The sequence below is a fragment of the Homo sapiens genome, chromosome 4, assembly GCF_000001405.40.
Source record: "Homo sapiens chromosome 4, GRCh38.p14 Primary Assembly".
NCBI classification, from domain to species: Eukaryota; Metazoa; Chordata; class Mammalia; order Primates; family Hominidae; genus Homo; species Homo sapiens.
In genome coordinates this window covers 66068761-66093072 of record NC_000004.12, presented here as the reverse complement: position 1 = coordinate 66093072, position 24312 = coordinate 66068761, and the positions used below count along the sequence as shown (strand labels likewise).

The window sequence follows — 24312 nt, the reverse complement described above, 5'->3', positions numbered from 1 at the left end:
ACACATGTACACACACATATATATGTACATATTTATGTGTGTGTTTGTGTATGTGTGCGTGTGTATAGATATGTTACTGGAAAGGGGTCCAGATCCAGACCAGAAGAGAGATTCTTTGCTATTGGGCAAGAAAGAATTAGAGGCAAATCCATAAAGTGAAAGCAAGTTTATTAAGAAAGTAAAACAATAAAGAATGGCTACTACGTAGGCAGAGAAGCCCTAAGTATTGCTGGTTGGCTATTTTTATGGTTACTTCTTGATTATATGCTAAACAAGAGGTTGAGTATTCATAAGTTTCCTGAAAAGGGATGTGCAGTTCCAGGAACTGAGGGTCCCTCCTTGCTTTAGACCATATAGGGTAACTTCCTGATATTGCCATGGCATCTATATACTGTTATGGAGATGATGGGAGTGTCTTTCAGCATGCTAATGAATTATAATTAATTAGCATATAATGAGCAGTGAGGATTACCAGAAGTTGCCATCTTGGTTTTGGTGAGTTTTAGCTAGCTTCTTTACCACAATCTGTTTTATCAGCAAGGTCTTTGTGAACTGTATCTGGTGCCAAACTTTTATATCATTACAATGGTTAATATTGAGCGTCAACTTGATTGAATTGAAGGTATTGATCCTGGGTGTGACTCTGAGGGTGTTGCCAAAGGAGATTAACTTTTGAGTCAGTGGACTGGGGAAGGCACACCCACCCTTAATCTAGATAAGCACAATCCAAATTTATATATATATATATATATATATATATATATATATATATACACATATACACATTATATATATATATAATGTATATATATATATACATTAGTTCTGTTTCCCTATGGAACCATGACTAATCCAGATTTTGGTGCCAGAAGTGATTCTAGGGGAACAGAATATTAAGGATGGAGTACTTTCACTGGTTTGGGGGTTTCTGGAGTTGGCTGCTTAATATCATTTGATCCAAAAATGCTAAGGACTGTACTTCTAATAGTAGGGAGAACACTGATAGTTTTTGGTGTGGACTATTTAGAGAGTTATCCAAAATAAATGTATTTGACATTCCTGATTCATCACTCATGAGAGGCAAGGAGTTTAGTGACTCTATATATAATACCTTTGACCATATATGGAGAACCAAAGAACATAATGAAGCAGGTTGGTTGCTTCTAAGTTCAGTGGAAAAGTGAGGAAAAAAATGATGAACTCAGTTATTCTATCTCCCGGCTTCAGAAGACACTGAGCCTCAAATTGCTAAGATTGCCCAGGGTGAGAGTCTTATCTCCTGTAGAGAAAGAGCTGAAATTGTGGAAAACCAGACATAAGCTCTTATCATGAGACTGGCTGACCTGCAACAAAAGGTGCATGCACAGCCTCTCCAGGTGTCTACTGTTACAGTGAAGACATTGGTTGGAAAAGAATGGGACCCTGCAACTTGGAATGAGTATGTGTGGGAGAACCCTGATGAAGCTGGGGACACTGAGTTTGTAAATTTCGATGAATCTTTTTTTGCTGGAAGAAACAGCTTCCCCATCCACAGTAGTGTCAACATCCCCTCGCCAACCCATGCTGCCATCAGCCTTTCTACCTTTGTCTGAGGAGATTAACCCTGCACCACCTGAGGCAACAGTGATGGCCTCCACTGAGGCAGTTGCCAGGCAAGATAATGCTGATTCTCCTTAGCAGCCACCTCCAAAACCCGTGTTTGCTTCTAGACTTATAACTAGACTAAAGTTTTGGAGTGCCTCTAGAAATGAGGTTGAGAGTGTGAGCCATGAGGAGGTGCACTCGAAAAGAACTGCTTGAGTTTTTTAATTTTTGAGAGCAGAAATCTGGAGAATAGGCATGGGAATGGATATTAAGGATGTGGGATAATGGTGGAAGGAACATAGAGTTGGATCAGGCTGAATATATCGATTTGGGCACACTAAGTAATCATTCTGCATTTAATGTTGCAGCTTAGGGAGGAAGTTAAAAAGATTCTAATAGTTTATTTGCTTGGTTAGCTGAAATATGGATTACAAGATAGCACACTGTGAGTGAGCTAGAAATGCCTGATTTACCTTGGTTTAATGTAGAGGAAGGGATCCAAAGGCTTAGGGAGATTGGGATGGTAGAGTGGATTAGTCACTTTAGACCTACTCATCCCAGCTGGGAGGGTCCAGAAAATATACAATTGACCAATGCCTTGTGAAAGAGATTTGTGAGGACAGCACCTGCATCTTTGAAGAGCCCTGTAATTGTTCTTTTCTGTATGTCAGATCTAACAGTGGAAACTACAGTCACTCAACTGCAAAATTTAAATACAATGGGAATAATTGGATCCCGAGGTGGCAGGGTCCAGGCGGAGGCACTCAACCATCAAAGGCAATGTGGGCATAGCTACTGTAATGGACAGCAGAGGCAAAGCTGCAATCAGAATGGTCTGACTCACGTAGAACTCTGGCACTGGGTAATTAATCATGTTATTTCTAGAAGTGAGATTGGTAGGAAGCCTACTGCATTACTGCTTAATTTATACAAGCAGAAAAATTCTAGGTCGAATGGACAGAAGATTAATTTGAATTATAAAAACAGAGAATCACATCCCCTCAGTCAATTTCCAGACATGAGCCAGTTTACAGACCCAGAACCCCTTGAATGAAAGGGATGCCAGGTCCCATTGAGGAAGGAGCCTACTACATTAGAGACCATTTATGAAGTGAATCTTTCTCCCATCCTTCCCCAAGGAGACCTCTGGCCTTTTACCAGGGTAACTGTGCACTGGGGAAAGGGAAATGATCAGACATTTCAGGGACTACTGGGCACTGCCTTTGAGCTGACATTGATTCCAGGGGACCCAAAATATCACTGTGGTTCTCCAGTTAAAGTAGAAGCTTATGGAGGTCAGGTAATTAATGGAGTTTTATCTCTGGTCTGACTTACAGTGGATCCAGCTGGTCCCCAGTCTCATCCCATGGCCATTTCCCCGGTGCTAGAATGCATAATTGGCAAGAACATACTTAGCAGTCAGCAGAACCCCCACAATGGCTCCCTGACCGCTAGGGTGAGGGCTATTATGCTGGGAAAGGCCAAATAGAAGCCATTAGAGCTGCCTCTACATAGAATAATAGTAAATCAAAAACAATATTGCAATATTGCATCTCTGGAGGGATTGAGGAGATTAGTGACACCATCAATGACATGAAAGATGCAGGGGTGGTGATTTCCAACACAACCCTGTTCAACTCTCCCATTTGGCCTGTGCAGAAGACAGGTGGATCTTGGAGAATGACAGTGGATTATCACAAGCTTAACCAAGTGGTGACTCCAATTGCAGCTGCTGTACCAAATGTGGTTTCATTGCTTGAGCAAATTAACACATCTCCTGGTACCTGGTATATAGCCATTGACTTGGAAAAGTGCCTTTTTCTCCATTCCTGTCCATAAGGCCCTCCAGAAGCAATTTGCCTTCAGCTGGCAAGGCCAGCAATATATCTTTACTGTCCTATCTCAGGCATATATCAACTCCCCTTCTTTGTGTCATAATCTTATTTGAAGAGACCTTGATCACTTGTAGCTTCTGGAAGATATCACACTAGTCCATGACATTGATGGCATTATGCTGATTGGATTCAGTGAGCAAAAAGTAGCAAACACACCGGACTTATTGGTGAGACATTTGTGTGTTAGAAGATGGGAAATAAAACTGAATAAAATTCAGGGATCTTCTAACTCAGTAAAATTTCTAGGAGTCCACTGGTGTGGGGCCTGTTGAGATATTCCTTCTAAGGTGAAAGATAAGTTAGTGCATTTGGCCCCTCCTACAACCAAAAAGAGGCACAGTACCTAGTGGGCCTATTTGGATTTTGGAGGCAACGCATTTCTTATTTAGGTGTGTTACTTCAGCCCATGTATTGAGTGACCTGAAAGGCTGCCAGTTTTGAGTGTGGTCCAGAAGAGGAGAAGGCTATGCAACAGGTCCAGGCTGCTGTGTAAGCTGCTCTGCCACCTGGGCTAGGTGACCCAGCAGGTCCAACGGTGCTTGAGGTGTCAATTGCAGATAGGTATGTTGTTTAGAGCCTTTGGCAAGCCCCCATAGTTGAATCACAACGAAGGCCCCTAGGATTTTGGAGCTAGGCCCTGCCATCTTCTGAAGATAACTACTTTCATTTTGAGAGACAGCTCTTGGTCTGTTACTGGGCTTTGGTGGAAACTGAATGTTTGACTACGGGTCATCAAGTCACCATATGACCTGAACTGCCTATCATGAACAGGGTGCTTTCTGACACATCTAGGCATAACATCGATCATGCATAGCAGCATTCTATCTTCAAATGGAAGTGGTATATATGTGATTGGGCTCCAGCATGTCCTGAAGGCACAAGTATGTTACATGAGGAAGTGGCTCAAATGCCCATGGTCTCCACCCTTGCCACCCTGCCTTCTCTCCCCCTGCCAGCACCAATGGCCTCATGGGAAGTTCCCTATGATCAGTTGATAGAGGAAGAGAAGACTAGGGCCTGATTCACAGATGGTTCTGCCCAATATGCACGTACCACCCAAAAGTGGACAGCTGCACCACTACAGCCTCTTTCCAGGACATCCCTAAAGAGCAGCAGTGAAGGGAAATCTTCCCAGTGGACAGAACTCCATGTAGTGCACCTAGTTATGCACTTTGCATGGAAGGAGAAATGGCCAGATGTGCAATTATATACTTATTCATGGGCCGTAGCCAATGGTTTGGCTGGATGGTCAGGGACTTGGAAGGAGCATGATTGGAAAATTGATGACAAAGAAATTTGGGGAAGAGGTATGTGGATGGACTTCACTGAGTGGTCAAAAACTGTGAAGATATTTGTATCTCATGTGAGTGCTCACCAACGATTGACCTCAGCAGAGGAGGATTTTAATAATCAAGTGGATAGGATAACTCATTTTGTGGACACGACTCAGCCTCTTTCCCCACTCACCCCTGTCATCACTCAATGGGCTCATGAGCAAAGTGGCCATAGTCCAATTTGCCAGCAGCAGAGACCAACACTGAGCCCTCAATATGGCACCATTCCTTGGGATGATCAGCCAGCTACCTTGTGGCAGGTTGATTATATTGAATCTCCTCCATCATGGAAAGGGCAGAGGTCTATCCTCACTGGAACAGTATTTACTCCAGATATGGGTTTGCCTATCTTGCACGCAATACTTCTGCCAAGACTACCATCTGTGGACTCATGAATTCCTTATCCACTGTCATGGTATTCCACACAGCATTGCCTCTGACCAAGGCATTCACTTTATGGCTAAAGCAGTGGGCTCACCACATTCCCCATCACCCTGAAGCAGCTGGATTGATAGAACTGTGGAATGGCCTTTTGAAGTCACAATTACAATGCCAACTAGGTGACAGTACTTTGCATGGTTGGGGAAAAGTTCTCCGAAGGCTGTGTATGCTCTGAATCAGCATCCAATATATTGTACTGTTACAGTGTCGGCCAGGGTGATTGACCTGGACTATCAAGAATAAATTAGTCTACTACTCCACAATTGAGGTAAGGAAGAGTATACATGGAATACACGAGATTCATTAGGGCATCTCTTAGCATTACCCTGCCCAGTGACTAAGGTCAATGGGAAATTACAACAGCACAATCCAGGCAGGACTACAAATGTCCCAGACCCTTCAGGAATGAAGGTTTGGGTCACTCCACCAGGAACAAACCACGAACTACTGACGTGCTTGTTGAAGGCAAAGGGAATACAGAAGGGTAGTAGAAGAAGGTAGTCATCAGTACCAGCTACGACCACATGACCAGCTGCAGAAACCAGGACTGTAATTGTCATGAGTGTTTCCTTCTTTTGTTAAAAACATGTTTCCTTTATCATGTGACATAAGATTTATTTTTTATTTTTTTCAGATGGAGTTTCGCTCTTGTTGCCCAAGCTGGAGTGCAATGGTGCGATCTTGGCTCACCACAACCTCTGCCTCCCTGGTTCAAACAATTCTCCTGCCTTAGCCTCCTGAGTAGCTGGGATTACAGGCATGCACTACCAGACCCGGCTAATTTTGTATTTTTAGTAGAGATGGCGTTTCTCCATGTTGGTCAGACTGGTCTCGAACTCCCAACCTTAGGTGATCTGCCCGCCTTGGCCTGCCAAAGTGCTGGGATTACAGGCCTTAGCCACCGCGCCCTGCCAACATAAGATTTACTGACTTCATATCAGCATTTAAGTGTTGTTAATTTTATGTAATAGCATCTCAGGAGATGTTTAGGGGTTCAAGTTCACAAGAGGTGAACTTGTGGTGGTTAATGCTGAGTGTCAACTTGATTGAATTGAAGGATACAGAATATTGATCTTGCATATGTCTCTGAAGGTGTTGCCAAAGGAGATTAGCATTTGGGTCAGTGGGCTGGGGAAGGCACTTCCACCCTTAATCTGGATGCCTGTAATCCCAGCACTTTGGGAGGCTGAGGTCAAGAGATCAAGACCATCCTGGCTAACACAGTGAAACCCCATCTCTACTAAAAATACAAAAAAAAAAAAAATTAGCTGGGCATGGTGGCGGGCACCTGTAGTCCCAGCTACTTGGGAAGCTGTGGCAGGAGGATGGCATGAACCTGGGAGACAGAGTTTGCAGTGAGCCGAGATCTCACCACTGCACTCCAGCCTGGGCAACAGAGCGAGACTCCATCTCAAAAAAAAAAAAATTAAATTTATTTTTAAGTGATAGACACTAAATCAAACACATAATTTTTGTTCCATTTAAATTAGCTGGATTTTAGTAATCAAATATATATAAACAATTTATATAGATATATATTTGAATTTATATTTGAATGTATTAAACCATGTATACTACCGCATATATATGATATACCATATGTACATATATACCATATTTATATATACATGCTTTAATAAATTCAAACAATACAAAGAACAACCAATTTCCTAGTTCACCTAAGAAGAGCAAACACTCTGGTCATTTTTAGGATAATTTAAGAAAAATAACATATTATACATTGCTTTCCACATTTATTACTTAAAATTTTGAATATTATATTACTTGCTGAGAATGTTGATCTTTCACCAGAAGAAAATGTTTCTTATAAAAAGTTCAATGAAATTTATACTTTCTCATAGTTATTTTTATTTTACCTTGAAAAGCCATTGCATCTCAGAGTCAACATTTAGTATGCTGTAAATATCTTCATCAGGAAGTTGGTAGTTCTGGTAGAGTGCTAAGAATAATGAATGAGAACTTCAGAGACATGAGTTTGGACATTTATAAGAATATGACAACAAAAACCTGGCTAAGCTAAGAAATAAAAATTCTAATGATTTAATTACTGCAAAGACCATACCATAAACTGTAAGACTGTAAAGCTATATTAATACTCTTAAGCTAAAGGCAACTAACCTTTTCATTCAAATCAGTGGGACATTTTTTCACTCAAATGAAGAACACCTCAGTGAAAATATGTTTGTATGTGTGTATACCTAAATATTTTAGTGTATATATATAGTTATCATATAATATGTATAATACATTAGATCGATAGAAAAACAGAAAGATATTGGTGATTGTTGCATACAATTATGAGTGCAATTACTGACACTCAATTCCGCAGTTAAAATGAATAATATGGCACATTCTGTGTTGCATATACATTACAGTAAAAATTAGATAAATCTAACAAATAATTAGAAATTCTAGCATAATTTTGGTGAGAAGGTTATAACGTTGTATAAAATGAATTGCAGAAGTTAAATAAGTACAATAAGTGTATTGTATTTATGCTATTACCTATTTTTATGATGTAAATTTGTGTACCTTTATTGCGATTATAAAGAAGTTCTCCTGCTTACAACAAAGCCTCTACTGATGAATCATAAAAGTAGCAGATGGACTCTAAGGTGACTGAGGAAAAGAAAGATCACCTGGTAGCCATCAAGCAGACCATCAAGTGGCAAAACTCTTTATCTGAGTAATTCATAAGTAATTAGATGTCCCTATTATCTAAAGCTGGTGTATTAGTCTGTTTTCATACTGCTATAAATAGCTGCCAGAGACTGCATAATTTATAAAGGAAAGAGGTTTAACTGACTCACAGTTCAGCATGCCTGGGGAGGCCTCAGGAAACTTACAATCATGGCAGAAGATGAAGGGGAAGCAAGGCACCTTCTTCACAAGGTGGAAGGAGAGGAGAGGTGCAAGTGAAGGGGGATGAGCCCCTTATAAAACCACCAGATCTCATGAAAACTCACTCACTATCATGAGAACAGCATGGGGAAACCACCCCAATGATCCAATTAGCTCTACCTGGTCTTTCCCTTGACACATGGGGATTATGGGGATTATAATTCAGGATGATCAGGAATTCCAGACCAGCCTGGCCAACATGGCAAAACCCCCTCTCTACTAAAAATACAAAAAGTAGCTAGGTGTGGTGGCCTGCACCTGTAGTCCCAGCTTCTTGGGAGGCTGAAGCATGAGAATTGCTTGAGCCTCGGAGGCAGAGGTTACAGTGAGCTGAGATCATGCTACTGTACTCCAGACTAGGTAACAGAGCAGGCATCAGTCACAAAAGGAAAAAAAAAAAAAGCGAATCAAGATGAGATTTGTGTGGTGTATTAGTCCATTTTCATGCTACTGATAAAGACATACCCAATACTGGGTAGTTTATCAAGAAAAAGAGGTTTAACGGACGCATAGTTCCATGTGGCTGGCAAGGTCTTACAATCGTGGTAGAAGATGAAAGGCACATCTTACATGGCAGCAGACAAGATAGAATCAGAATCAGTGAAAGGGGAAACCCCTTATAAAATCATCAGACCTCATGAGACTTATTCGCTACCATGAGAACAGTATGTGGGAAACTGCCCCCATGATTGAATTATCTCCCACCAGATCCTCCCACAACACGTTGGAATTATGGGAGCTACAATTCAAGATAAGATGTGGGTGGGGACACAGCCAAACCATATCAGGTGGGGACACAAAGCTTAAACGTATCAGCGAGCATCTAGTACCAGACTTCTTTCTCCAAAATTTATAAGTAACTAGAATTTCTATAAATTTCTGGAATGCATGCATGTCAAAGCTCATTGTGTCACCCTTGCTGACCTCAAGGCATCAAAATGTTTACAAACGTAATCATTTATTATGACCTACATGCTAGCATGGTCCAAATTACCCTTAAACTCCCATTTTAAAGTCCATAAATACCACTAAGGAAAATCCACCACAGAGTGCTCAGTCCTCCTTGCCGAAGTGCCCCTCTGAACTCTGACGCAGCATTCTTTCTATCTAATAAAGCTTTTCTTTTTTTCAAACCTGTATTGCTGTCAGTGAAATATTTTACCACCCACAAGCCAACCACTCTCTACTGCTGGGACTCTGACACCTCACCCTACAGTGACCACCTATGATTCTGTTTTCTATTTTTCACACCCTTCTGTAATTCCATTTAGTTGAGCGTAAGCAGGACCTATGACTGCAACTAATGAATAGAATATGTCAAAGATGAGATGTCACTCTTGTTATTATATTACACAAGACTCCGTCCTGCTATCCCACTTTCTTTTGAGACTCTCCATGCTGACTAAATGAAGTGGCAATGTTGGAGAAGCCTACATAACAGGCAACAGCAGGCAACCTCTGGGTGAGTCTAGACAGTGTGGAAAAGAAGTGGTGTAAGAGCTGAGGTTCCCTACAAAAGTTGAGGAAGGCCTCCAGCTTATAGCTAGAAAAAGCTGGGTTGAACAGTCCTACAATGCAAGAATATTAATTCTGCTAGCAACTCAGATGAGCTTGGTAGTAATTCTTCCCCAGCTGGGCCTTCAGATATGAATACAGCCTAGCCAACCCCTTGATTACAGCATTGTAAGATCCTGGGCAGAGGACTCAGCTGACTGTGTTCAGACTCCTGATTTACAGAAATTGTGAGATAATAAATGTGTGTTGTTTAAGCTGCTAAATTTCTGGTAATTTGCTACACAGTAGTAGAAGACAAACACATTAATGTAAAGGATTAATGGTATTTATTAGATGTATTCTATTTGTCATCATTAGAATTAAAGTACTAACATGACAAACCTGCTATACTTAATAAACTCTAACAGAAAATGTAGCTTAACACATAACACACAAACACCCACATGAAACATTATTTAGTAGTATTTTTAGATTTATCATAAACCTCATTTTCTACCTAAAAAATCTGAAACATATATCATTAAAAACACTGAGTTTATGAATCAAGTATGTAAAGCATGCCAGTATACACAGGATCCTAAAATCGTCAAGAGTTTGTAGCTAGTATCAAATGTTTGTTAAGCTCTGCAAATAAGTAGTAATGTAATTATGGAGTACTATGTGCTTGCCACTGACAGATACAACTTTACTTTTTCATCTGACTATTCGTTTATTCTGTATTCAGTGGAGCTAGTTCTTCCATTGGCCATAGATTAAACACATGAATAAGACCATACATTTTTGTTCTACACCATACAATTTCTATAGTTAGTTTACGTAGCAAAATAAAAGACTCAACAGTACATTTAAAATACCCAATCTTTCTGTAATAAGGTCAAAGCTTTTGTTGGTATTCATATTCCTTCCTCCTTCTCCAGCTTGGGTTTGCAGCACACAAGAAGCCTATACCCAGTTAAGGTGAGAGTGTTTCTATATTTTTAGTTATCAGCCTTAAAACTTCACTTCTCTTCTATCTTGTCATCACAGATACAAAATTGCAAGCTATAACAATTAGGAAAGTTATAACTTGAGACGTCCTCACAAACTCTTATTCCTTTAGATTACAGCCAAATTTTTCTCATTAGCTTTTGTGTGTGTGTGTTTCCTAGAGTTTAGAAGTCTCTCACCGACCTTTTTTTTTTTTTTTGGACAAAAAAAATCCATGCTCCGTTAGATGGTAAAAGTATTGCCTACCCTCCTGCTTGATACATGTTTGTAGGTAGTACCCTTTACACAGAGTATCTGTTTCAGTTTCATTGCCCTTCCAACCTTGGTACTTCATGTTTGAATCTTAGGAAAACCTCATACTTTCTTTGGCCTAAGAAACTTGAGAATTTTTTGCTATCAAATACAGCCATCTCTTCTTAACTCTGTAGGTTTTCCAGACAAAATTCAGACATGAGCTTATTCAATTTGCCCCTCCCGCTTCAATTGCAAAGGACTCCTATTAAGTCCTACAAGAAGTTGCATTCTCAGCTCCACATTCCTGGCATGGGGTGAATGATAAATAAGATAATTGCTCCATAAAGGGTTATCAGTGGAAACTACCCTTGTCAGGTAATAAATACGAATAAGTTTTCTCTCAAGCAATTACTGTAAAATCCCTTCTGAAATATGTAAGTTTTCCATAACCTTAATTTGGATGATAAAGTTTATTATTTGTATATATAATTTTTGGATAAATACTATTTACAGGTCTTTCAAGGGGACTTTAACTCATTTTATAATTTTATATCTGTGATGAATTTGCTAAAATAGATAGAACATGAGTCCACTTAAATAATTTAGCATTAGATTCTTAAATTTATTCTAAAAATTTAGATCCATAGTTTAGCATCTGATCCTTAAATTTATTCTAAAAAAATCAAATTTAAATGTACATTTTATCATCTATTATGTCAAAGCACAGAGAAAATGCAACACAGAAAGAGATTGACATAGTTGGTGGCCTCCAAGAAATTATTCCTAGATTAGTGAACCACATGTCCACTGTGATCATCCTGTTCTCCTTCTACACACAATTTTTCCTTATTCTAAATAATGCCATTTTCCATATACAATGAAGTACGTAAAAATATTTTCTCTTTATTCTTTTTTGGATGGACATATTTCTTAGTTAAATTCTAAAACCCTGAAGAGAAGAATTATATATTTAATTATTTATATTCATCTAACATATTAACAATATCACAGTGTGTTGCTCAGAAAGGTCATATATTATTTGACATGAAATAGATATTTTCAGCAATTTAACTAATATGTATACTGGTCCAAATGCTCCCTTCTTCATACATTTGGATTCTAATTTTATAACATTGAAATATGTGGAATATCATTTTCTCAGCAGCAATTCAATACTGTAATTTTGCTTTAAGAGTGTTTTTTGTTGTTTATTCTTATCTTCTTTATACTTTCTTCAGTATAAAATTAGATAAACAATAACCAGGAATTAAAGGCAAATACATAGATTATAAATGTCTTTCTACTCTAAAATACATTTGTTAATTAATTCAGGTGAAATTTGATTAACCCCTACTGGAAATCAAGCTGTATTAATAAGTTTAATTTGTCATTTAATTTTTAAAAGGAAGGTTTTATTTGGAGGTGGCCATTTCCTACAAGGAACGGCCTGTGAGGATGTTAGGACTTCTCAAGAAAATGATAGAAGACTAGTGAAAGTAAGTGGGTTGCTAGAGAGAAAGTACTATATCATCCTGAAGTCACATCATTAGGATAAATGCTTAATTTAAAAAAAAGTTAAAGAACATTTGGTCTGTCTCTCTCTCTCTCGCACACCCACACTCAGTGATATTTAAAGCAACAACTTTAAAACCAAGGAAGAAAAGGAGCAAATAAGAGGAAATGCTAAAAAAAAAGAAGTGCAGTTATACTGTTTATTAAGGTGATATTTCTCAGAAACAGAGCCTGTAACATATCTCATTGCATACACGCAATCCTGAAATTGTTGGCCATGATAAAAAATAAACAAAACAAAAAAATCACATGTACTTAGCTCTTCATTTTCCCTGAGCTATTCTTCTGCTCTCATCTCATATCTACTATTACAATCTTCTTAAGTTGGGAGCAACTAGGCAATGTTTGATGATAAATTAATGACACCATTAGCAATCTAAGATAATCTCTCTGAAAATTTACTATACTATTTATTCCTTTAGTGAGGCTCATAAAATTGAGTATATTGTTTCTCTTTTAGTTTAATATTGTTTTGTCATGTGGATAATAAGAATTATAGAAGACCTACAAAGTTTTTTTTAAACACTTAATGTTTAAATCTATATATCTTGAATAAGATTTATTATATTTCTTGTACATGCAATGATGCTTAATTACCCACTTAATACATTTTTCTTAAAAATTTTTCTAAAAGATTTAATATTCCATGTACCAATACTCCATGTGCAATAAGGCAAATATTTGCTGTACTTGTTTAAGCCAGGGGAGTATCTACATTTTTCTCAGCTTTTTCTATCGAGATACAATTGACAAAAAATTGCAAATATTTGTAAAATGTTGCAGATATTTTCAAGTTATAAAACATGATGTACTCATATACATATACATTGTAAAACAATTATAATAATGAAGCTAATTAAGATATCCATCGCCTCACTTAGGTACCTTTTTTGTGTACGTGGTGAGAATAATTAAGTTCTTCTCCCTTAGCAAATTTCAAGTATACGTAATAGTATTAACTATAGTTGCCATGCTACACGTTAGGTATCTAGAACTTATTCATCTTATAAATGCAAGTTTGTGTCATTTGACCAACATTTTCTCTTATCCTCTACCCCCCAAACCTAGTAAGCATTCTTCTCCTCTCTGTATCTATGACTTTTACTCTTTTAGATATTACATATAAATGAGATTATGCAACATTTGTCTTTTTTGTGCCTGGCTTATTTCACTTAGCACAATATGCTTCAAAATCATCCATGTTGTGTAAATGGCAGTATGTTCCTCTTTTCTAATGTGGACTAATATTCATATATAGAGATATAAAGACAAATATTCATATAGAGATATAAATAAGATCATTGTTCCATAATAACATTCATCAGAAGAATCTATCCTTATCAGGTAATAAATATAAGAAAGCTTTCTCTCAAGCAATTACCATAAAATCACTTCTGAAATATTTAAGTTTTCCATAAGCTCAATATGGATGATAAAGTTCACTAGTTGTCTATATAATTTCTAGGTAAATATTATCATATTTGGGTATGTGCACAAATAAACTTTATCATCTAAATTGGGTAAATACTGTGGGATATACATATGCATATACATATATCCCACAGGGTTGTTGTGGTTTTTTTTTTTTAATACAAGCATCTGTTAACAGATACATAGGTTGTTTGCATATCTTGGCTATTGTGAATAAAACTGCAATAAACAAGTAAGTAAAGCCCCCCTTCAAGATAGTGATTTTATTCCCTTTGCATATGTAGCCTAAAGTAGGATTGTTAAATAATATGGTAGTTCTATTTTTAATTTTTGATTACACTCTATATAGTTTTACTAATGCTTGTACCAATTTACATTCCCACCAACAATGTTTGTGAGGGTTCCTTTTTCACTAAACCTTCATCAACACTTAACTTCTAAATATTTTATGCCATTCTAACAAATGTGAGATGATAATTCATTGTGATTTTGATTTGCTTTACTCTAGTGATTAATGATGTTGAGCACCTTTTTATGTATGTGTTGGCCATTTGTATGTCTTCCTTTCAGAAATGTCTATTTAAAACATTTTTTTCTACTTTTTAGCTGTTTGTTTTTTTACAGTTGAGTTGCATGCATTTTTTTCTATATTTTAGATATTAACACATTATAAGATATAGTTTGCAAATATTTTTCCCATTCCATGAATTGTCTTGGCATTTTGTTGATTGCTTCCTTTGCAGAAATGTTTTCATTTGATATAGTCCCACATGTTTATTTTTGCTTTCGTTGCTTGTGCTTTAGGTGTCAGATCTAACAAATATATATTGGCAAGATCAGTGTCCTGGAACTTTTCCTCTGTGTTTTCATGTAGGAGTTTTATGGTTTCAGGTCTTAACGTTTAAGTCTTTATTCCATTTTGAGTTGATATTTAAGTGTTGTGTGAGATAAAAATTTAATTTCTTTTTTTTTATTTGGCATGTGAATATCCAGTTTTCTCAAGGCCATTTATTGAAAAGGATATCATTTCTCCATTGTGTTTTCTTGGCACCTTAGTTTAAGATTAGGTGACCATATGTGCTTAGGTTTATTTCTGGCTTTCTATTCTGATCAATTGTTCCACATATCTGTGTTTATCTGATGCAAAACATCATGATGTTTTGAAATCAGAGAGTGTCATGCCTCCATCTTTGTTTTTTGGGTTTTTTTGCTTTTTTTTTTGGTTCAAGATTGCTTTACCTATTCAGAGTCTTTTGTGGTTTCATAAAATTCTAGAACTATTATTTCTATTTCTGTAAAAAGTGTCATTGGAATATTGATAGACATTTTATTGAATCCATAAATCACTTTGGGAAGAAAGGACATTTTGACAATATTCATTATTCTGATCCATGACATGGGATATATTTTCATTTATTTGTGTCATCTTCAATTTCTTTCATCAATGTTATAGTTTTTAGTGTACAACTTTTTCCCTCTTGGTTAAATTTGTTCCTAAGTATTTTATTCTTCTTGATAATATTAGAAATGAGATTGCTCTCTTAATATTTTTTGGATACACTATTGTTATTCTGCATGTTAATTTTGTATCCTGAAGTTTTACTCAATTTATTTGTTGGTTCTTCCTTTTTTGGTAGAGTCTTCAGGGTTATCTATATATAAAATTTTGCCATTTGCAATAAAAAACAATTTTACTTTTTCCTTTCTGACTTGGACATATTTTATTTCTTTTTCTTGTCTTATTGTTATGGATAGAACCTTCAGCACAATACTGAACAGAAGAGGTTAAACTGAGCATCCTTGTCTTGTTCCTGATCTTATAGAAAAAACTTTCAGCTTCTTACTGTTAAGAGTTATGTTTGCTATATGATTGTGATATGCTTTTTATTGTGTTGAAGTACTTTCTTTCTACACATTATTTTCTGAGAGTTTTTATCATGAAAGCATGCTTAATTTTGTCAAGTGATTACTGTTAATCTATTGAGATCATCATTACGTTATTGTTTTTCATTATGTTAATATGGTATAACACATTTATTGATTTGTATATGTTGAATCATCCTTACATCTCAGGGGTAAACCTCACTCAATCATGGCATATGGTCCTTTGAATGTGTTGTTGAATTCAGTATACTAGCATTTTGTTGAGGAGTTTTGCATCTGTTCTCCTCAGAGACACTGACCTGTAATTTTTTTCTCTTACAGCATCCTTGTCTGGTTTTGGTATCAGGTTAATATTGGACTCATATAATCAATTTGAAAGTACTCCCTCCTCAGCTTTTTGCAGGTGTTTGAGAAGGATTGATATCATAGTCTTCTTTAAATATTGGGTAGAATTTACCAGTGAAGCCATCAGGTCTTCAGCTTTTATTTGTTTGGAGGTATTTTCCTAGAGATTAAATCTTCTGACTCATTATTGACCTGTTAAAATTACTTATTTCTTTGTGATTTAGTCCTGGTAGGTTGTATATTTATACTAATTCATCAATTTCTTCTAGATTATCCAATTTTCTGTCATGTAATTACTCATAGTAGTCTCATGATTTTTGTATTTCTGTGATAAGAGTTATAATGTCTCCTCTTCCATTTATGAGTTTAGTTGCTTATTCAAAAAACCAACTCAGTTTTATTGATCTTTTCTACTGTTTATCTAGTTTCTATTTCATTTATTTCTGCTATGACGTTTGTTAAATTCCTCCTTCTGCTACCTTTGGTATTGGATTGTTCTTCCTCTAGTTCCTTAAGGTATAAAGTAAGTTTTTCTGATATTTTCTTTTTACCTAGACTTTATTGCTAAAATCTTTCTTGGAACTGTTTTGGCAGCATTTGATAAGTTTTGGAATGTTGTGTTTCATTTTCATGTCTTAAGATATTTTGGACTACCTTTTGGATTTCTTCTTTGCCCACTTGATTGTTCAATAATATTTGTTTTGTCTCCACATATTTTTTTAATTTTACAGTTTTCCTCTTGTTATTGATTTCTAGTTTCATGGCATTATCACCAGACAAGATATTTCATATAATTTCAATCTTCTTAAATTTCTAAGACTTGCTTTCTGGCCTAGCTTATTATTTATTCTGGAGAGGGTGCATGTATATTTGAGAAGAATGTGTATGCTGCTGCTTTGAGATGAAATATTCTGTATACGCTTTTTAAAGTTTGTTTGATCTGAGGTACTATCCAAGTCCAATATTTTCTTTTTGATTTTGTGTCGGAAAGCTCTATCCATTGTTAAAATTGGAGTATTAAAATCCCCTAGTATTATTATATTGCTATGTCTCCTTTCAGGTCTATTAATAGTTGCTTTATATATTTAGATGCTCCAATGTTGAGTGCCTATATGTTTATAATTTTTATATCTTCTTGAAAAATTGCCACACATTATATTAAAAATTCAAACTGGTACCCCTAAGGCAGGAAGCCTAAGCCTGTACTTCTTCTCCTAAGCTAGTTTTGGAACTTTATAGCACAATTTGTTCTTGTTAATGGGACTCTGCAGGCAGTGAGTGGCTAAACGTGAAATTCACTTACAACAATATGGAAAGATGTTAATGGAGATATACATATAACAGAGACAGGTCCTCAGTCATTTAATAAAGTAGATAGGGTGTGAGCACATGCAGGAATGCCACAGCCATGCTCCTGTCAGTACCCCACCTAAGCCAATGTGTGTGCACCCCATTGTGGCTGCAGGGACATGCAAGTGGGCACAGATCCCTCTGCCACCACCCTGATGAAGCACTTTGGTTGGCCCTACCCATCAGAGTGTTGGAGCTATTAGTAGAATGAGAACACCTTAGCCCCTCTAGTGCATCAAGTTTCTAAAGTCAAGGGGCCAGATAGCAAAATTCTGGGCCTTGTCCCAGGCCTGTTAGAGTTAAAGTCCAGGATTACTGAGCTGATATTTTCCCCCTAAAATTATCCAGAAACAAAGCCAGCCAAATGAATACACCCTATATCACGATCAATCCCCCAAGGACATCAAGAAAGATAAAAGCAAAAATCCTAATTAAATGACAGCAACCTAAAAGACTGAAGGAACATCAGCCCAAACAGATGAGAAAGAGCCCATGAAATAATTCTTCCAACTCACAAAGCCAGAATGAATTCTTACCTCCAAATAAGTGCACTAGTTCCCCAGCAATGTTTTTAACAGGCTGAAAATGATGAAATGACAGAAATATAGCTCAGCATATGGATTAGAATAAAAATCATTGAGAATCACGAAAAACTTGAAATCTAATCAAAAAATTTAAGGAATACAATTAAACAGTAAGGGAGATAAAAGACAAAATGACCATTTTAAGAAAGAACCAATGTGATCTGATAAGAGCTGAAAAACTCCAAGAATTTCCTAATACAATTTCAAGTATTAACAGCAGAATTGACCAAGCTGAGGAAAGAATCTCAGAACTTGAACATAAGTTACCCAAAATAACTTAATCAGACAAACATAAAGAAAAAAGACAAATAAAATGCCCAAGAAATATGGGATTAAGTAAAAAGACCAAATTTACGACTCATTAGTGTTCCTGAAAGAGATGGGGAGAGTGTAAGCAACTTGGAAAACATATTTGAAGGTATCGTCCATGAAAATTTTTACAACCTCAGTAGAGAGGTCAACATTCAAATTCAGGAAATGTAGAAAACTTCTGTGAGATGCTATGCAAGATGACCATCTACTAGACACATAGTCACCAGATTCTCAAAGGTCGAAATGAAATAAAAAATGTTAAAGTCAGCTAGAAAGAAGGGGCAGGTCATCTATAAACGAAATGCCATCAGGCTAACATTGGAACTTTCAGCAGAAACCTTATAAGCCGGAAGAGATTAGGGGTTTATATTTAGCATTCATGAAGAAAAGAAGTTCCAATCAAGAATTTCATATACAGTCAAACTAAGCTTTATATGCAAAGGAGAAATAAGAACACTTTCAGACAAACAAATGCTAGGGGATTTTGCTACCACCAGACCTGACTTATAAAAGGTATTAAGGGAGTGCTAAATGTGGAAAGGAAATACCATTACCAGCCACCACAAATATACACTTAAGTACATAGACCACTGACAATATAAAGCAACCACACAATTAAATCTGCATAATAACCAGCTAACCGACATAATGACAGGATCAAGTCTGCCCATATCAATATTAATCTTGAATGTAAACAGGCTGAATGCTCCACTTAAAAGGCACAGAGTGGCAAGTTAAATAAAGAAGGAAGATCCAAGTGTATGCTGTCTTCAAAAAACTGATTTGACATGCAAAGATACCCATCAACTCAAAGTAAATGGATGGAGAAAATTCTACCAATCAAAGAGAAAAGAGAAGAAAGCAGGCATCACTCTTCTAATTTCAGACAAAGCAGACTTTAAACCAACAAGATAAAGAAGACAAAGAAGGGCATTACATAGTGGTAGAGAGTTCAATTCAACAAGAAGAACTAATTATCCTAAATATATATGCACCCAGCACAGGAGGACCCAGATTCATAAAGTAATTCTTAGAGACCTATGAAAAAAGTTAAATAACCACACAATAATAGTAGGAGACTTCAACACACCCCACCGACAGTAGTAGACAGATCATCAAAGCAGGAAACTTACAAAGATATTGGGAACCAGAACTTGACACTTGGTCAAACAGACCTAACACATCTACAGAACTCTCCACCAAAAATCACAGAATATATATTATTCTTATATGCGCATAATCTAAAATGGATCACATAATTGTGAACCAAAAAAATCAGCAAAATCAAAAACCCTAAAATCATACCAACAACTCTCTCAGACCACAGCAAAATAAAGTAGAAATCAGTACTAAGGAAGGTGCTCTACATTATACAATTACATGGAAATTAAACAACCTGCTTCTGAATGATTTTGGATAAATAATGAAATTAAGGCAGAAATCAAGAAATTATTTTAAACCAATGAGAAAAAGTACAACATACCAGAATCTTGGGACATAGCCGAAGCATATTTAAGAGGGAAATTTATAGTGTTAGATGCTCACATCAAAATTTAGAAAGAGTTCATATTAACAAACTAACATTACACCTAGAAGAACAAGAAAAATAAGATCAAACCAATACCAAAGCTAGCAGAAGACCAGAAATAACCAAAATTAGAACTGAAATGAAGAAAATAGAAATAGAAAAATTATGCAAAAGATTAATGAATCCAAGTGTTGGTTACTTGAAAGAATAAATAAAATTGGTATACCACTAGTTATACAAATAAAGAAAATGAGTAGATAAAAATAAACATAATCAGAAATAAAATAGGGAATGTTATCACTGAACCTACGAAAATTCCCTCAGAGACTATTATGCTCACATATATGAAAACAATAAAAAAAAACCTAGAATAAATAGATAAATTCCTGAAATCATACAACCTCCCAAGATTGAATGAGGAAGAGATTAAATAGCTGAATAGATCACTAACGAGTTGTGAAATTGAATCAGAAATTAAAAGTAAAAGCCTACCAACCAGAAAAAACCCAGGACCCACTGTATTCACACCAAAATTCTACCAGGTGTATAAGAAAGAGCTGGTACCATTCCTACTAAAACTATTCCAAAAAAAAAAATGAGGAGGAGTGACTCCTACCTAACCCATTCTATAAGGTAAGCATTATCCTGATACCAAAACCTGGCAGAGACAGAACAAGAACAACAAAAAACTTCAGGCCAATATTATTGATGAACATTGGTGTAAAAATATTCAGCAAAATACTAGCAAACTGAATACAGTAGCACGTCAAAAAGCTAATTCACCACAATCGAGTAGCATTTATCCCTGGGATGTAAGATTGATTCTACATATGCAGATCAATAAACATAATTCATCACATAAACAGAACAAAAAATAAAAATCATATGATCACCTCAATAGATACAGAAAAGACTTATGATGAAATTCAATATCTTTCACACTAAAAACCCTCAACAAACAAGACATTGAAGGAACATACCTCAACATAATGAAAGGAATCTATGACAAAACCACTGCCAACATCTTACTGAATGGAAAACGCTGGAAGCATTCCCCTTAAGAACCAGAACAAAACAATGATGTCAACTCACCACTCCTCTTCAACATAGTACAGGAAGTCTTAGATAAATCAGGCAATAGAAACAAAACAAACAAACAAACAAAAAACGGCATCTACATAGGAGGAGAGGAAGTCAAACTATCTCTGTTTGCAATAATATGAATGTATACCTAGAACACCCCATACTGTCTTCCCAAAAGCTACTAGATCTGAAACACAACTTCAGCAGAGTTTCGGGATATAAAATCAGTGTAAAAAATTAGTAGCATTTTTATTACACCAACAACATTCAAGCTGAGAGCCAAATCAATAACACAATCTCATTCACAATAGTACAAGGAAAATAAAATAGTTGGGAATACAGCTAACCAAGGAGGTGAAAGATCTCTACAATTAGAATTATAAAAGATTGATCAAAGAAATCAGAGATGACACAAACAAATGGAGAAACAGTCCATGATCATGGCTAAAAAGAATCAATATTATTAAAATAGCCATACTGCTCAAAGCAATTTGTATGTTCAGTTCTATTCCTATCGTTCAACTAATGATGTTCTTCACAGAATTAGGAAAAGTTATCTTAAAATTTACCTGGAACCACCAGGCATGGTGGCTCGGGCCTGTAATCCCAGCACTGAGGTGGGCAGAGCACGAGGTCGGGAGTTTGAGACCAGCCTGCCTAACACGGTGAAACTCTGTCTCTACTAAAAATACAAAAATTAGCCGGGTGTGGTGGCGCATGCCTTAGTCCCAGCTACTCAGGAAGCTGAGGCAGAAGAATCACTTGAATCCATGAGGAGGAGGTTGCAGTTAACCGAGATCGCACTACTGCACTCCAGCCTGGGCAACAGAGAAAGACTTCATCTCAAAATAAATAAATAAATAAATAAATAAATAAATCTGGAACATAAAAGATCTCAAATAGCCAAGGCAATCCTAAGCAAAATGAACAAAGCCACCAGCATCACACTACCCAGCTTCAGACTATACTGTAAGGTTATAGTAGCAAAAACAGCATTGTGCTGGTATGAAAACAGACACATAGACCACTGGAACAGAACAGAGAGCCCAGAAATAAAGCTACACACTGACAACTGACTGATTTTCAAAAAAGTTGACAGATACAAGCAGTGTGGAAAGGACTTCCTATTCAATAAATGGTACTAGGATCACTGGATAGCCATATGCAGAAGACTGTAATGAGACCCCTTCCTTACACCATATACAAAAGCTAATTCAAGATGGATTAAAGACTTAAATGTAAAACCTCCAAGTATAAAAACCCTGGAATATAACTTAAGAAATAATATTCTGAACATAGGCTCTGACAAAAATTTTATTACAAGCATGCCAAAAGTGCAATTGCAACAAAAAGAAACATTGAAAAATAGGACCTAATTAAACTAAAGAGTTTTGACACAAATAAACTATTAACAGAGTAAACAGACAATCTACAAAATGGGAAAAAATATATTTGCAAACTTTGCATCCAACAACAATCTAATATCCAACATCTATAAGAAACTTAAATTTACAAACAAAACAACTCCATTAAAACATGAGCAAAATACATGAACAGACACTTTTCAAAAGAAGACATACCTGTAGCCAACAAGCACAGGAGAATATGTTCTATATCACTAATCATCAGAGAAATATAAACCAAAACCACAATAAGATGCCATTTTACACCAGTCAGAATGGCTATAATTTAGAAGTCAAAAAAACAACAGATGCTGGCAAGGCTATGGAGCAAAGATAATGCTTATACCCTACCTTATGAACTTAATTATTTCAGCCACTGTGGAAAGCAGTTTGACATTTCTCAAAGAACTACCATTTGACCCACCAATCTCATTGTTGGGTATATACCCAAAGGAATATAAATTGTTCTACCATAAAGACACATGCATGCGTATGTTTATTGTAGCACTATTTACAGTAACAAAAACATGGAATCAACCTCAATGTTCATGAACATTGGACTGGATAAAAAAAATTGTGGTATATGTATGTAGCATGGAATACTATTCAGCCATAAAAAGAACAAGATCATGTCCTTTGTAGCAACATAGATAAAGCTGGAAGCCATTATCCTAAGAGAACTAACACAGGAACACAAAGCCAAACACTGCATATTCTCATTTATAAGTGGGAGTGAAATATTGAGTACACATAGACACAAAGAAAAAAGCAAGAGACACTGGAGCCTACTTGAGGGTTGAAGGTCAGAAGAGGGTGAGAATCAAAAAACTACCTATCAGGTACTATGCTTATTACCTGGGTGACAAAATAATCCGTACACCAAATTCCTGACATACAAGCTATCTATACAACAAACCTGCACATGTACTATTAAACCTAAAATAAAAGTTTAAAAAATAACCTTCTTTGTCTCTTTATACAGTTTTTTGCTTAAAGTCTAGATTGTCTGATAGAAGTATAACTACCCCCACTCTATTTTGTTTCCCATTTGCATCAAATATCTTTTTGCATCCTTTCACTTAGAGTCTATTTGTTTGGTTAAGTGGTGAAGTGAATCTCTTGTAGGCAGAATATAGTTGAGCATTTTTATTTAATTCATTCTGCTCTTGTATGTCTTTTCACTAGAGAATTTAATCCATGTACATTCAGGTAATTACTGATAGGTAAGAACTTACTATTGTCATTTTGTGAATTGTTTCCTGGCTATTTTGTAGATCCTTTGTTGCTTTCTTCCTCTCTTGTTTTCTTCTTTTGGTTTGATTTGATTATTTTTTGTAGTGGTATGCTATGATTCCTTTCTCATTTATTTTTGTGTACCTAATGTTAGTTTTTTCTTTGTGGTTATCATGAGTCTTATGCAAAACATGTTGTAATCATTATTCTCTTTTTAAAGCAGATAGCAACTTAACTTTGATTGCATACAAATACTCCAGCTTTTACTCCTCGCCCTATTTAATGTTTTGATGTTACAGTTTACATCTTCTTATATTGTATATCCGTTAACCAATTATTGTAGTTATAGTTATTTTTAATACTTTTAGTTTTTAACCTTCATGCTAGTTATATGTGATTTACATGCCGCCATTACAGTATTATTCTGAAATGTATACTAAGTATCCATTTGCCAGGGAATTTTATACTTTCATGTGTTTTATGTTACCAATTAACACCCTAATACTCTTCCAATAGCGCATGCTAGAACGTCCCTGCTGGACTCCAAGACTCACACAAAGGTGTTCTTGTACATGGAAAGTTGCTAAAGTCAGTGCTTCTATGAGGAATGATGGTAGAAAGCTTCTATCTGCCATTTCAGTCAGAAGTATTTGCTTTAACTGCAAAGTTTTCTTT

At 36.2% G+C, this 24312-nt stretch overlaps 1 long non-coding RNA gene across 1 annotated transcript in view; it reads right to left on the bottom strand.

Annotated features, from left to right (window-relative positions):
* Positions 1-24312, bottom strand: part of LOC105377261 (uncharacterized) — a 148733-nt gene that overhangs the window by 58861 nt on the left and 65560 nt on the right. Inside the window, exon 2 of the long non-coding RNA XR_007058453.1 lies at positions 7132-7214. This is a non-coding gene — a long non-coding RNA (uncharacterized LOC105377261). The remainder of the gene's footprint in view (positions 1-7131; positions 7215-24312) is intronic.